Raw genomic sequence first — 15,460 nt, forward strand, 5'->3', positions numbered from 1 at the left:
TTCATTTTTTATGGCTGCATAGTATTCCATCGTGTATATGTACCACATTTTCTTTATCCAATGCACCGTTGATGGGCACCTAGGGTGAGTCCATGTCTTTGCTATTGTGAATAGTGCTGCAATGAACATGAGAGTGCACGTGTCTTTTGTTAGAACAATTTACTTTCTTTGGGTATATACCCAGTAATGACATTGCTGGGTCGAATGGTGGTTCTATTTTTAACACTACTTTTTTTTCTATTTTACAATTGAGGAGCCTCTTTGAGTTCTAATGTTTATATATTCTTAAGTAGAATGCTTCATTTATTCACAGAATATACAATGGAAATTATCCAGCTATTGTTCAACAGGTAGTTCCTGATTCAATATGTTCTGAGAACAACTCTTACATCACTAGTACAGAGATTAAAGATGTGGCTCCACAATTTTGATTTTCTTCCAAAAGAGTAAATCTTAAAGTCTGTGACACTGCCTGTTTAATTAAAAGGGAGTAACTAGTACTTACAGCTTTGCAATGGAGCCCTTCATAAGGGAAATCAGTGTCTAGGTTGTGAACAAAGTTTACTGGTTAGCATGTTTCCGATGTTCTTGGATGTTTTCTAGTATCTATCACAAACACTAACAGCATTTGTTCTAACATCTGCTTTAAAACAGGTACTATATAAGACCAAAAAATTCCCATGTCTACTTATGGAGGACAGTCTTTGAATATCTTTTAAATGATAGAGATCATGTACTCTATATGAATAGGCTATAGAATAAAACATTTTAGTTTTTATCAGTTATCAAATTCAGGATTTTTCTTTTCAATTATAGATTGTAAGAGGGTAGTAATATGTACATTTTAAAAAACATATATAGGTGCATATGTATGTGTGTGAGTATATATATATATATATACTTAACAACGAGTGAGGTCCATGAAATTGGGTTATGGGTTGGTAGTCACAACTCCACCTGTAGCACCCCTTTACCACACAAATGTCAAAACGGGATCACAGTGTGGAAACAGAAGAGTGCAGGATATATTAGAATCTGAAATCTTTCTCAAGGATATGAGGTGCCTGGTAGAACTTTATTTACATGTTAGGAAATTTTAACATGAGCTTTTCAAGAAATGGAATTGAAAAGTCCAGAGGAAGAGGTGAGTTTATAACTATTAAGCATACTGAAACAAATGAGGTTTGGAATTTTGCACTAAGTTTGTTAAGCTTTACTGTGTTTTTGCTATGGGGGGAACTTGGATTTTTCTTTTTTTTTCATTTTATCCTCTGTCCTTAATATTTTTAATATTTGGAGTGGTAATTACTGAAAATTGGAGAGGGACATAGAGTGACTTAGGGAGGGCAAAGGGAGGTTTTTTTTTTGTTTTTGTTTTTTGAAAGTTCTAAAACCTGAAAATTATTCTGGAGTCTTCCGAAAATGTTCAGACACATTTAAGAATTTTTATTGAGTAATACAATGTTCTAATTGAGGCATACACGTTGTTCTAGGAGTCTGTGAAATTCTAAAGATAAAAGTTTGATTATGCTTGTTTTGACTTTAATGAACTATTCACATAATTTTAATACACAGTGTCTAACACGTATGAAAGTTGTGTAATACCTTATACCTTAACAATGGAGAATTACTAAGCAATTTTGGCTACTCTGATATTAGCATTTCCTGAAACTCCTCAGGCTGATGTGGCAAAGGAGAAATAGCAATCTTGAGTTCTGAAAAGCTAGGCCGCATTTTGGTCCTGAAAAATCACTTGCTGTGAACTTGGGCCAGTTTTTGATTTTTTAAATGGCATAACAGTTCGTTGCTACAAGAGGTTACATCAGGAAAATTTCCTAAGGATTTAAGATTTTGTTCATCTATTGAGTTCTTTTGGGTGATTTGTTTAGGAGGAAGTATCTGCTCCTTTTTGAGTTGCTTCACCAAAGTACTTGAGTGAGAAGGCAGAATATAATGAGAATGATCATGCTGGCAAGGAAGACATATATATGAGATGGGTTATCCTTTACACCTACGTCAGCTAAAACCGTCTCCTACGAACAAATCCAGCACTTGGCACTTTATTCGACGGTCCTAAAAATAGAGTCCTAAATTTAGAAGGCAAGGTGCTACTTTTAGCTCCTCTTCTCGGAGGAAAACAGCACGCACCGCGCCAGGCCAAGGTCCACGGGGATTTGATTTAGCATTTGGGTAACTGGCCGCTAATGGAACTGAAGACAGCTGGGCCTAACAAGTGCCCAGGTGACTCAGGTAAGCGAGGAAACCAGATCGAGGTTCTCTTGCGTGGGACAGGTTAAACTCTGACCAAACCACAGCTGAGCCGGGACGCCTTCCTGTCTAAAGTCCAAAGTCCGGACGTGGTTGGCAGGGCGCACCGGCGCGTGCCCCGCAGGCCATTTTTCTGACTGGAATGACGGCGGCGGCTGGCTTCTCGGGGCTGCCGGGGTCTCCCGGGGTACGCCGCCGTCAGGACTTCTGCAGGGCGCAGACAGCAGGCTCCAGCGAGGCTGCGGAAGGAAAGCCTTGGGTGTCGGGGCTGGGCCTGGCGTCGGCCCCTGGGTCGGGGGGGTGGGGGTTGCGCCGAGACGCCTCTAGGAGAAGTCTCGCCGCCGCCGCCACCGCGGCCGCCCGAGGCGGGTGCCCTTGGGACATAGCCCTGGTCTTTGGGGTTGTGCGGCTCACACGACAGCGCGGAGTATGAGGCCGAATCTCATCCTCTAGTCCCAAGCCTCTCCACTACCAGGGCTGGGTGGCTTCGCCAGGTAGAGCGCCGGCCCCTTTAAGAGCAAACGACCCGGACACGTCTGCGAAGCTTGCGCGAAGAAGGGGAAGTTTGCGGCTGTCCGCGCCTCCCCGCCTTCTCGCGGCTGCCCGGCCGAAACCAAACCGAGGGGTGGGGTGGCGAGGACAGGGTACGTCGCAGGCTTGTGCGGGTCGGGCTCGGACCTGCGCTGCCTCGGGATGTAAAGTATAACAAGAGGGTCGGGATGGGCAGCGTAGGCCTGTGAGGCCTGCGGGTGCCCCTGTCCCCCAGCTCCCCCCGCAGCCGGCTCCGCAGTGGTCCACTCCGGTTGCCGGGTGCGGATTCGGGTTCCGGACCGAAGGCTGTGTGTTCTCCGCCGTTTATTGTGGCCCCGACAGGCCGGGGTTACTGTGGCGACCACGAGAGCAGCTTTGGCGCTATGGAGGAGCCCGGGGTTACCCCTCAACCGTATTTGGGGCTGCTCCTGGAGGAGCTACGCAGGGTGAGCCCAGGCGCGATGAGTGTTACGTGGCCCAGGGGTCGCGGGAGCCGCCGGGGGAAGGAAGCAGTAGACCGGCTTTGGGGTCTAAGCCGCCGTGGTCAGAGGTCCCGAAGCCAGTCCTCGTCTGCTGCCCGGCTCCCGCCCGTGTTCGAGGCAGTAGTTAGGCTCGTAGGGCGCTTGAGTGGTTTTTGTGTGATGGAGGAGGACCTGGGGCTCTGGGAAGGTGAAGAAAGCACTTGCTTAGCTGGACTTTGCAAAGATGTAAATGTTTCCCGATTCCTAAAACTAATTAGCCTTTCCGCTATGTTGTTTATTTTGAGCAGAGACACGTGGTTCCTTCGACTGTGAGAAACTTGAGGACTGTTCCTTTAAATTAGTTACATTTACTGATGTAACTTCTCGTTGAACCTTGAAAGAACACCTGAGGTTGGGCGGGGAGTTGAAATTTTGATTCTGCATTTTTTTTTTTTTTGGTAAAGAATGAATGCCCTTTTGAGATGCTCTACCATGAGTGAGATTGTTCTTCGCTTCTGTCTTGTTAATGTACAGTCTAGAGATAGTAAACTCCCAGTGTTCAAATTTTGTTTTTTATTTTTCAGGTCTAGTTTATAATCAAGTTGTAGAGATTTTTCTCCTTAAGTGTTTCTAGGTATCTTTGTTGACATGTGTAGGGGCATTTATGTCGCCGTGTTTTTAAAAACTGGATTAAATCTTTAAAAAGACCACTTAATTATTGAGGCAGTTACGATTATGTTTTCTTGTTAGGTGAATTAAAGGTAGTGTTGCCATGGTGTTTATGAGTTCATAGTTTGTCTAATGCATACGCATATATATGTATTTAATATGAAAAGAGCACCTTTATGGAGATTCTAAATGGACTAAGACTTAGTTTTGGCCACTAGCATCATGTTGTCTGTTAAGAGAGAGAAGACAAAAAAAAAAATAGTACAAAGTAGAAACTGATGAAGTGCTTACCTAAGCATACACACACAGTGCAGGGAACTAGGAGCTGTATTACTTAGAGTGTAAAGTGGGCTTAGGGAGTGATGGGCAATGATGCTTGCCGGAGATGTAAGTAGGTTCCAAGTGCTGTAGGTGTTGGAGAGCTCTTGAAGGCTTTTCCGTGGTTAGACTTGTGGTTTAAAATTTAAGCTCTTCTTGATAGTAGCATGTAGATTAGATGTTAGGGAAACAAAACTTGAAATAGGGATTAAGGGAGAGGTGACAGTAGTAAGGATAGGAAAGAGGGTACTGTGTGGAGAAATAGCCTCTAAGAGCTAAAATATGTTTGACTTTATTGATTGCATGTGAAGGGTGAGAGAGAAGGAATCTAGAAGGACTCCCAGGTTTCTGGCTGTGGTAACTTATTCATGGAGGTAGGGTTTTTAGAAAGAGAAGCATATTTCCCTTTCTTCACTAAAAACAATAATAATCAAGATTTAGTTTTTATAGGACTGCCAGTGTACATGGAGAAATGCAGAAATACATGGAGAAATGCAGCCAGATTTTGCAGTTTTCTCTAGTCTGGTGCGTTGTATCTTCACCTGCACAGTTTTTTTTTTTTTTTTTTTTTTTTTGCTAAATGCGAGTACCCTGGCCTGGGGGCTAGGATGGCACAACATTGTTCCGCTTTAAATTTTTTTTTTATTTTTAAAAATTATTTTGTATTGAGATATATTCACACAACATAAAATTCATCCTTTTATAATGTCCATTTCAGTGCTTTTTTTGTTAAATTCACTATGTTATGCAACTGTCAGCACAGTTCCTCAACATTTTTATTACCCCAGAAAATAAACTCTACTGATTAGCAGTCTTAATTCCCACCCCTCATCCCTTGACAACCACTAATCTATTTTCTGTCTCTATGAACATGTCTATTCTGCATGTGTCATGTAGTCATGCTATATGTGGCCTTTTGTCTGGCTTCTTTTACTTAGCATGTTTTCAAGGCTTATCCATGTTGTAGCATGTAACAGAGCTTCATTTCTTTTTTCTTTCTTTTTTTTTTTTTGAGACAGGGTCTCATCCCTGTCACCCAGGGGGGAGTGCAGTGGCTTGATCTCAGCTCACTGCAGCTTAGACCTCTCTGGCTCAGGTGATCCTCCCACCTCAGCCTCCTGAATAGGTGGGACCACAGCACATGCCACCAGGCCTGGCTAATTTTTTTGTATTTTTTGTAGAGACAGGGTTTCTCCATGTTACCCAGGCTGGTCTTGAGCTCCTAGGCTCAAGTGATCTGCCCACCTAGGCCTCCAAAAATGCTGGGATTACAGGCGTGAGCCACTTCGCCTGGCCCTTCATTTCTTTTTATGGTGAAAAAATATTCCGTTGTGTGACTATATCACATTTATGTCATAGTTGATGGACATATGGATTATTAATACTTTTTGGCTATTATGAATAATGCTGCTTTGTGTATAAGTTTTTATATATGTTTTTAGTTCTCCTGGGTAAGTACCTGGGTGGAATCGCTGAGTCATATTTACCATATGTTTAACTTTTTGAGAACTGCCAAATTGTTTTCCAGAGGTCACACCATTTTACATCCCCACCAGCAGTTTATGAGGGTTTCAGTTTTCTGCATTCTCTCCAACGCTTGTGATTTTCTGTTTTCTTTTGTTTTTAATTGCCACCCTTGTGGGTGTACAGGTGAGTGGTATTTCACTCTGTTGTGGTTTTTTTTTTTTTTTTTTTGAGACTGAGTCTTGCTCTGTCACCCAGGCTGGAGTGCAGTGGCATGATCTCGGCTCACTGCAGCCTCCACCTCCCAGGTTCAAGTGATTCTCCTGCCTCAGCCTCCTGTGTAGCTGGGACTATAGGCACTAACCACCACACCTGGCTGATTTTTGTATTTTTAGTAGAGACAGGTTTCACCATGTTGGCCAGGATGATCTCGATCTCCTGACCTTGTGATCCACCCGCCTCGGCCTCCCAAAGTGCAGGGATTACAGGTGTGAGTCCCCCCACCCGGCTTTACTCTGTTTTTTGTTGTTGTTGTTGTTTGTTTGTTTTGTTTTTTAAGAGATGGGGTCTTGCTTTGTTGCCCAGGCTGGAGCGTAGTGGCGTGATCATAGCCCACTGCTGCCTTAAATTCCTGGCCTCAAGGGATCCTCCTGCCTCAGCCTTCCAGAGTGCTGGTGTTACAGATGTGAGCCACCACACCAGGCCTTGTGGTTGTTTTGATTTGTATTTTCCTAGTAACTAATGATGTTGAGCATGTGCTTATTGTTTATATCTTCTTTGGGGAAATGTCTATTGATTTCCTTTTGCTCATTTAAAAAATGGGTGGTCTTTTTATTGTTGAGTTATAAGCATTCTTTATACATTTAGGGTGCTAAATGCTTACCAGATAAATGATTTAGAAAGATTTTCTCTCATTCTGTGCATTTTCTTTTCACCTTCTTGGTGTGTCCTTTGAAGCGTAAGCGTTCTAAATTTTGATTAAGTCTAATTTATCTTTTCTTCCTTTGGTTGCTTGTGCTTTTGGTATCATAGCTAAGAAACCGTTGCTTAAGACAAGGTTACAAACATTTACAGTTATGCTTCCTTCTAAGAGTTTTAGCTCTTACGGGAAGTTCTTCGATCCACTTTGAGTGATTTTGTTTCCATATATGTTATGAAGAATGGGTCTAGATTCATTCCTTGGCATGTGGATATTTATTGGCTTATTCTAGTATGATTTGTTTGAAAGAACTGTTTTTTTCTCATTGATTTGTCTTAATACTGTTGAAAATAATTTACCATAAATTTAAGGGTTTATTTCTGGACTCTGATTTCTATTTCATTGGTCTGTGTCTGTCCCTATGCCATTACTACATTATCTTTAAAACATTTTTTTACCCAATGTCTTGATTATTGTTTCTTTGTAGTAAGATACAGTAGGGAAGTATGAGTCCCCCAGCGTTGTTTTTGTTTATCCACGTTCTTTTTCTTTATCAATATTGTTTTGGCTATGTGGAGTCCCTTGCATTTCTATATAAATTTTAGGAATTCAGTTTTAGGAATTTAGGATTCAGTTTGTCCATTTCTGCAAAAAAGGCAGTTGGAATTTTAATAGGGGTTGCATTGAGTCTGTTGATCAGTTTAGGGAGTATTGCTCTCTTAATAATATTAAGTCTTCCAAGCTGGGTGCAGTGGTTCATGCTTGTAATCCCAGCACTTTGGGAGACCAAGGTGAGCAGATCATTTGAGCCCAGGACTTCAAGACCAGCCCGGGCAACTTGGTGAAACTGTTGTGGTCTTTCTGCTCCTTAGCTCAGCTAGGTCCAAGTTCTTGTCTCACAACCAAGAAGAATTAGGCATGCGGACCCCAGAGAGTGAGTGGAATAGAATTTATTAAGTGAAAGGAAAGCTCTCAGCAAAGAGGGAATGCAGGGGGTGGTTCCCCTACCAGAAGGCAGGAAAGTCCCCCTGTGTGGCTGGGTCTGCGGCCTTTTGTGGACTCAGAATGGGGAGTGCATGCTGATTGGTTTGTGAGTATGCAAAAAAGGTTAAAGCAAAGACACCACTTAGAGGTGGGCGTGACAATGTAGACAACTAATTAGGAGGCCGGGTGCGGTGGCTCATGCCTGTAATCCCAGCACTTTGGGAGGCTGATGGGGGTGGATCACGAGGTCAGGAGTTTGAGACCAGCCTGGCCAACATGGTGAAACCCTTCTCTACTAAAGATACAAAAAATTAGCTGAGCATGGTGGTGTGCGTCTGTAATCCCAGCTACTCAGGAGGCTGAGGCAGGAGAATCGCTTGAACCCGGGAGGCGGAGGTTGCCGTGAGCTGAGATTGCGCCATTGCACTCCATCCTGGGTGACAGGGCGAGACTCCATCCCAAAAAAAAGAAAAAGAAAACTTATTAGTAAAGGGTAGGTATATGTAAAATAGGTGAAAGATGGGGATCAATCAGAGGAAAGTGGGCCAAACAAGAAGGCAAGTTCTCAATCTGGTCCAAGGATTTAACTTGTGGCTTGGCTTTCAGGCTTTAAACTGTCTTTGGCTTGAAGTTGGGGTTTCACTAGGGACCCGCCCCTATCTGCCTGGGCATTTGGCTGCCTCCTGCCACTCTCAAAATCCTGTCTTTAAAAGAAATACAAAAATTAGTTGGGCAAGGTGGCATGTGCCTGTAGTCCTGCTGCTTGAGGCTGAGGTGGGAGGATCATCTGAGCCTGGGGAGGGCAAGGCTGCAGTGAGCCAAGATCGCACCACTGCACTCCAGCCTGGGTGACAGACTCAGTCCCTGTTTCAAACAAAGAAGTCTTCCAGCCCATGGACGTGGATTGGCTTTACATTTATTTAAGTCTTCCTTCGTTGCTTTCCACAATATTTTGTAGTTTCAGTGTGCACTTCTTTTGTTAAATGTATTCCTAATAATCTTATTCTTTTTGATGCTATTATAGATGGAAATGTTTTCTTTATTTCATTTTCAGGTTGCTCATTGCTGTTGTATAGAAATTCAACTGATTTTTCTATGTTGATTTTGTATTCTGCAACTTTGCTGAACTTAATAGCTCTGATAGTTTTTCTATAGGTTCTTTAGGATTTTCTCTGTGTATAGAATAGCATTATGTCATCTTCAAACAGTTTTTCTTCTTCCTTTCCAGTCTGGATGCCTTTTATTTATTTTTCTTTCCTAATTGCTCTGGCTAGAACCTCCATTACAATGTTGAATACATGTTGATAGAGCGGACATTATTGTTCCTGATCTTAGGAGAAAAGCTTTTTTTTTTTTTTTTTCCTCATCTTTAAGTATGATGTTAACTGTAGGTTTTGCATAGATGTTTCTTGTCAGGTTGAGGAAATTCCCTCAAATCGTACTTTGTTGAGTGTGTTTTGTTTTTTTTGTTGTTTGTTTGGGACAGGGCCTCACTCTGTTGCCCAGGCTGGAGTGCAGTGGCATGATCATGATTCACTGCCGTCTCGACTTCCTGGGCACAGGTGATTCTCCCACCTCGGCCTTCTGAGTAGCTGGGACCACAGGCATGTGCCATCATGCTTGGCTAATTTTTGTTGAATGTTTTGACTATGAAACGGTGCTAGATATAGTCAAATGCTTTTTCTGTGTCTATTGAGATGATCATGCGTTTTTTTTTTCTCTTCATTTTCTTAATATGGTTCATAAGATTATTGTATGTTAAACCAACCTTGCATTTCTGGGATAAATCCCACTTGGTCATGGTACATAATCCTTTTTATATGTTGCTGGATTTGGTTTGTCAATATTTTTTTGAGGATTTTTGCATCTGGAGTCATAAGATATATTGGTGTGTGATTTTCTTTTCTTGTGTGATGTATTTGTCTGGCTTTTAGGGTAAATACCAGCCTCATAGAATAAGTTAGGAAGTATTTCTTCCTCCTCTATGTTTGGGAAGAGTTTGAGAGTGATTGGTGTTAATGTTTTATCTTGGAGAGGTGTACCTTCATGGAACTTTGTGTTATAGTCAAGTATTCACAGGGTCTGCATGTTGACATTCTTTTTGTTATTAGTATATATCATGTTTGAAGTTAGATGAAAAACAATTTTAGTTTATTCTTAGTATATTTTGTCAACCTGATTAATTGATTTTTTTTAAAGCTACTTGATCTTGAACTCCTTTAGTACTCATGTTTTGGAAATGGAATAGATTTTAAGTGTTCTGTGATTAATCACTACCGTACTTTATGGAGGGTTACTCTTGGAGGGGTTACCCATCACCCTTTAAATTTCAGTTTATCAGATTACATGTAATTCTGTATTATATTTGTTGATATTTGAGAAATTTGGTTGTTCTTTCTATGTTTTTGTGAGATAGGGTGTTATGTTGTAGATAAAATTTAAGGGTGAAAAATCTCCTTGAGAAAGCCAGAATAATTTAGACCAGAGCAATGAATTTGAGATGAATCCTTTAGAACTCAGTTTCTTTTTTTCTTTTTTTCTTTTTTTTTTTTTTTGAGATGGAGTCTCACTCTGTCACCCAGGCTGGAGTGCAGTGGCGTGTTCTTGGCTCACTGTAGCCTCCTCCCGGGTTCAGGCAATTCTTGTATCTCAGCCTCCCAAGTAGCTGGGATTACAGGCTTACGCCACCATGCCCAGCTAATTTTTGTATTTTTGGTAGAGATGGGGTTTCACCACGTTGGCCAGACTGGTCTCAAACTCCTGACCTCAAGTGATCTGCCCACCTTGGCCTCCCAAAGTGCTGGGATTACAGGCCTGAGCCACCGTGCGTGGCCAAGACTCAGATTCTTTGCTTTTCTCCAGTCTGCCAGATCTAACCAGCTCAAGGCTTTATTTTATTTTATTTTTTTAAAGTTTTTTTTTTTTGTAATCCCAGCACTTTGGGAGGCCAAGGCAGGTGGATCACCTGAGGTCAGGAGTTTGAGACCAGTCTGGCCAACATGGTGAAACCCTGTCTCTACTAAAAATATAAAAACTAGCCGGGCATGGTGGTGGGCACCTGTAATCCCAGCTACTCGGGAGGCTGAGGCAGGAGAATTGCTTGAACCCAGGAGACGGAGGTTGCAGTAAGCCTACACGGTGCCGCTGTACTCCAGCCTCGGCAACAGAGTGAGACTCCGTCTCAAAAAAAAAAAAAAATTTTTTTTTTTTTTAAATTATTCCTTAATTTCCATGTTTCCTTAATCCTTTGTGTGTGTGTGTGTGTGTGTGTGTGTCAGAGTCCAGTTTTGTTTTGTCACCCAGGCTTGAGTGTAGTGGTGCGATCTGCAGCCTTTGCCTCCCAGGTTCAAGTGATTGTCCCACCTCAGCCTTTCTAGTAGCTGGAACTACAGGTGCCTGCCACCATGCCTGGCTAATTTTTGTATTTTTAGTAGAGACAGGGTTTTGCCACGTTGGCCAGGCTGGTCTCAAACTCCTGGCCTCATGTGATCCGCCTACGTTGGCTTCCCAAAGTGCTGGCATGAGCCACTGCGCCCGGCCCTAGCTCAATGCTTTAAACTAGAATTTACCATGTCCTTTTAGAAGAGAAGAGCTGATAAAATGTGATTGAATCTAAGAAATATTATTGTACTAAAGGTAATTACGTGTTTGATCTGAGAGATGCTTTTGGAATTGCCTTTTAAAGTAGAGTGTCATAGGTCATATTGATTACACAATTTTTGAGTTAGTGTGCGTCTTATGTGTTGAATACATTAGCTAAAAGTAAGATGCTTGGAAAATGTGTAAACTGTGAAGAAAACTTTTCTTCCTGGTATTGTGTATTGAATGCCTTTTTTCCCCCAATAGCAAAAATAATTTTTTTTTATCATTAATTGCTTGTAATGATATTAGATTTCTGCGAACTGGTACCTAGGGTAATGTAGGGAGAGGCAGAAGCAGAGATCAGGGTAAAGGGATATTTTTTAGAAGTATAATCAGGTTTGTTTGGTACAGGTTATGAAGTATAGATAGTACCTTGGAAGGAGTACATATTTGGATTAGAGTTATAAAAGATTTTGGAGAGGAAAATAACTATTAAACACTGTTCTTATAGGCAGAAAGGGCCTAAAAGGAAGATTTGCTGTAGAGGTTTTGGGTTAAAGCCTGAAAAGAATCAAACCCCATCATACTTCAGATTGTTCTTAAAATGGCATTTTTCTTTTTTCCCCTTACCTTTCCCCTTTTCTTTTTGATCAAGTAATATCTTGGGCCTGGTAACAAAGAGCAGAATAACCCCATTAGGTAAGGATGAGTAATGAGCTGACCCAGAGAAAGGTGAAATATAGAAGCAACAGCAAAAGCCTTAGGCTGTGTTGTGCTGAAGGTCTGCTGTGGGGAGAAGTAATGTGGAAAGGCCATGGTCAGAAGATCAGGGTCTTTGGAGGAGATAATATAAATAATTACCCTTTTTTGAGCACCTGTCTGGCATGTTCAAACAGCATTATTCTCATTACACTTAAGAGAAGGGACGCACAGAGGTAGGGTGGGGAGATTCAAACTCCAAACCCAAATCTCTATCAGTGGTGTTCAAAACTTGTTTTTATTTTTTGAGACAGGTCTTACTTTGTTGCCCAGGCTGGCTTTGAATCAAACTTTTTATTTTTAAAGCTGCAAATTGATTTTTTCTTCCTGTAGGGAAATTGTATATTGGGGAACTGATTATACTTTACAGATAAAACCTGAACTGGTTGAAATCAGGGTAAGAGTACCTGAACCCTAGGTCACTCAGTTTCTTTCTTTGGCCTTCTCTTATTCTCATCCTTGGAAACTTTAAGTCACCTCTGTAGAACTCCAGTTTGAAGATAATTGCATTTCACCATACTGCTGTTCTTTACTTGGCGATAGTGATTGAAAGTTGACAAAAAAATGTACTCTGATACTTTCTGTTTGGTGTTAGTCTGGCAGCCCATTTTGTGTTGACCACATAAACTTGTACCTATGTTTGTAATCAATATTTTTACCAAAAGTACATTTTTAAGAACTTACTTTTCTTTATCTTGAAGGTTGTGGCAGCACTGCCTGAAGGTATGAGACCAGATTCTAATCTTTATGGTTTTCCATGGGAATTGGTGATATGTGCAGCTGTTGTTGGATTTTTTGCTGTTCTCTTTTTTTTGTGGAGAAGTTTTAGATCGGTAAGTAACCAGTGCTATACTAAGAGAATGTTCATTTTGTCACTGGGCTGAACAAATAATATGAGAAACATATTTGTTATTTTAAGTAAACAAGTTAGAAACTACATAGGGATTCAGAGGTTTTTGTTTTTTGTTTTTTGTTTTTTTTAAAAGAGATGAGGGTCAGGAATGAGAGTCAGGCCCAGTGCTGTGGCTCCCACCTCTAATCCCAGCACTTTGGGAGGCCAAGGCAGAAAGATCACTTGAGCTTAGGGGTTTGTGACCAGCCTGGGCAACACGGTGAGACCCCATCACTACAAAAAATACAAAAATTAGCTGGACATGAGGACACCCGTCTGTGGTCCTGGCTACTCAGGAGGCTGAGGTGGGAGGATTGCCTGATCCTGGGAAGTCGATGCTGCAGTGAGCCATGGTTGTGACACTGTACTCCAGCCTGGGTGACAGAGAGAGACCCTGTCTCAAAAATAAAGAGATGAGGGTCTTGTGTTGCTCAGGCTGGTCTCAAACTCCTGGGCTCAAGTGATCCTCCTGCCTCGGCCTCCCAAAGTCTTGGGATTACAGGTTTGAGCCACCATGCTCAACTGGAATCTTTTAATGTAAGATCTTTTATATATATATATATGTGTGTATATATATATATATATATATATGTGTGTATATATATATATATATATATATGTGTGTATATATATATATATATATATATATATATATATTTATATTTAAAGAGATGGGGTCTCACTATGTTGCCTAGGTTGTAGTGCAGTTGCTATTCACAGATGCAATTATAGTGCGCCTACAGCCTACAGCCTCAAACTCCTGGGCTTAAGCAATCCTTTCTCAGCCTTTTGAGTAGTTGGGACTACACAGGTCCATGTCACTCTGCCCAGCTTCATCTTTTTTTTAATTCTGGGAAATTTTATTTGAGACAGGATTTCACTCCTGTCACCCGGGCTGGAGCGCAGTGGCATGATCTCGGCTCACTGCAATCTCTGCTTCCTGTGCTGAAGCAATTCTCCTGCCTCAGCCTCCTGAGTAGCTGGGACTACAGGCGTGCACTACCATGCCTGGCTAATTTTTGTATTTTTTTGTAGAGACGGGTTTCACTGTGTTGCTCAGAACTCCTGGCCTCAAGTGATCTGCCTGCCTTGGTCTCCCAAAGTTCTGGGATTATAGGCATTAATCACCACGCCTGGCCTAATTTTGGGAAATTTTTAATGCATTTTTGGGACTGCTATTTTTCAGATGTTGCCCCTTTTACTTCTGACTTCCCTATCTCTTAACTTCTATTTTTCAATTTCTTTATGGTTTTCTATACCTTTTGAGAGTTCCTTAATCTGAGGAACTGAAATCTATTCTTCATCTACACTCATTGTAGAGTATCTTGTCTTTTAAAGGTTTTCCCTTTTATCTCTATCCATATTCTGTAGATGATTGAAGTCCTCATTTCTTTTCTACTTGTTTGTGTTACCTCAGCCCTAAGGCTGATCCTTTTACAAATGAATTCCCGCCTGCTTCATTATTTGAGAGAGAGGTTAAGGAAGAAAAAGGTTTGGTTTACTGTTTCTTTAGTCAGTTCAGATCTATGGCCCTATGGTAACATTTCTCAGGCTGTTTTATTTTGGATATTGGCATCAAGGGATATGATAATAGGGGCTTCTTGAAATTATTTTTTTAGGGTCAAATTTGTTTGGGGAGCAATGGGTTAAATGAAATTAAACAAGTATCTTTAGAGTAAAGTTATTTCAGAGTCTTTAATATGCTAATTCACAATGTGAATCTTCAATAGGGAGTCTTTAATAAGTAGTATTTAGGCTGGGCATGGTGGTTCATGCCTGTAATCCCAGCACTTTGGGGGACCCAGGCAGGTGGATCACCTGAGGTCAGGAGTTCCAGACCAGCCTGGCCAACATGGTGAAACCCGGTCTCTACTAAAAATATGAAAATTGGCTAGGCATGGTGGTGGGCACCTGTAATCCCAGCTACTCAGGAGGCTGAGGCAGAGGAATTGCTTGAACCCAGGAGGTGGAGGTTGCAGTGAGCTGAGATCGCGTCATTGCACTCCAGCCTGGGAGACAGAGCAAGACTCTGTCTCAAAAAAAAAAAAAAAAAAGCATTTATTTTCTCATTGGAAACAGAATACTTTTGGCTTGTATTTATACAAAGGCAATAAGAAACCTGTATTTCTAAGTTGGCAGTAGACGTTAAATGAATTGATTTACTTGAGAGCGTATTTGTTTTAATGTAATTTTTGTTAAAAATTTGTTTCAGGTTAGGAGTCGGCTTTATGTGGGTAAGTTCTTTTTTCTGCTTTGACTCTCATTGTTGTGTTGTAAAAACTTATAATAATTTACTCATGGTAATATTGACTTGACTTTTTTAGGACGAGAGAAAAAGCTTGCTCTAATGCTTTCTGGACTAATTGAAGAAAAAAGTAAACTACTTGAAAAATTTAGCCTTGTTCAAAAAGAGGTAAGATATTTTTGAAAATAATATTCATGTTAGAGTCAGAGAACTTTATACTTCTCACTGTAGGTACTTCTGTGTAAATTTAAGATTATGAATGCTTTGTTTGCAGAGTATGAGAGTTCTCTTTGCTCTTCATATTCAACACTTAACCAGTCTTACTAATTTTAACCATTGTAGTAGGTGTACAATGGTGTCTCCTTGTG

At 41.2% G+C, this 15,460-nt stretch overlaps 1 protein-coding gene and 1 long non-coding RNA gene across 63 annotated transcripts in view, besides 3 other annotated features; one reads left to right on the plus strand and one right to left on the minus strand.

Annotated features, from left to right (window-relative positions):
• The window catches only part of MIA2 (MIA SH3 domain ER export factor 2), a 154,608-nt gene that overhangs the window by 30,363 nt on the left and 108,785 nt on the right, over positions 1–15,460 (plus strand). For 13 of the 62 annotated variants that reach the window (NR_148722.2, NM_001354154.2, NM_001354155.2 and 10 more), the window contains exons 1-4: positions 3,108–3,245; positions 12,657–12,788; positions 15,060–15,081; positions 15,172–15,260. Coding sequence is in view for 59 of the 62 variants with exons in the window: in NM_001354154.2 (NP_001341083.1) it covers positions 3,183–3,245; positions 12,657–12,788; positions 15,060–15,081; positions 15,172–15,260 (306 nt within the window). In the remaining 3 variants the exon portion in view is untranslated. Of the gene's footprint in view, positions 1–1,013; positions 1,145–2,020; positions 2,251–2,394; positions 2,517–2,644; positions 2,763–2,846; positions 2,913–3,107; positions 3,246–12,656; positions 12,789–15,059; positions 15,082–15,171; positions 15,261–15,460 lie in introns of those variants that run through there. The other 49 variants (XM_024449592.2, XM_024449595.2, XM_024449594.2 and 46 more) reach the window with 12 other exon arrangements.
• On the minus strand, positions 1,426–2,784 carry MIA2-AS1 (MIA2 antisense RNA 1). The gene has a single exon (NR_038935.1). It is a non-coding gene; the product is annotated as an MIA2 antisense RNA 1 (long non-coding RNA).
• Positions 2,313–2,895: an enhancer, noted in NCBI's record as "H3K27ac hESC enhancer chr14:39735794-39736376 (GRCh37/hg19 assembly coordinates)". NCBI's record gives its function as "activates a minimal SCP1, AML or CMV promoter by ChIP-STARR-seq in primed H9 embryonic stem cells {active_cell/tissue: H9 hESC(primed)}" and the evidence as "EXISTENCE:reporter gene assay evidence [ECO:0000049][PMID:30033119]".
• Positions 2,503–2,552: a silencer, noted in NCBI's record as "silent region_5688". NCBI's record gives its function as "represses an Ori minimal core promoter by ATAC-STARR-seq in GM12878 lymphoblastoid cells {active_cell/tissue: GM12878}" and the evidence as "EXISTENCE:reporter gene assay evidence [ECO:0000049][PMID:35858748]".
• Positions 2,896–3,476: an enhancer, noted in NCBI's record as "H3K27ac hESC enhancer chr14:39736377-39736957 (GRCh37/hg19 assembly coordinates)". NCBI's record gives its function as "activates a minimal SCP1, AML or CMV promoter by ChIP-STARR-seq in primed H9 embryonic stem cells {active_cell/tissue: H9 hESC(primed)}" and the evidence as "EXISTENCE:reporter gene assay evidence [ECO:0000049][PMID:30033119]".

Source organism: Homo sapiens, chromosome 14, assembly GCF_000001405.40.
Source record: "Homo sapiens chromosome 14, GRCh38.p14 Primary Assembly".
Lineage (NCBI taxonomy): Eukaryota > Metazoa > Chordata > Mammalia > Primates > Hominidae > Homo > Homo sapiens.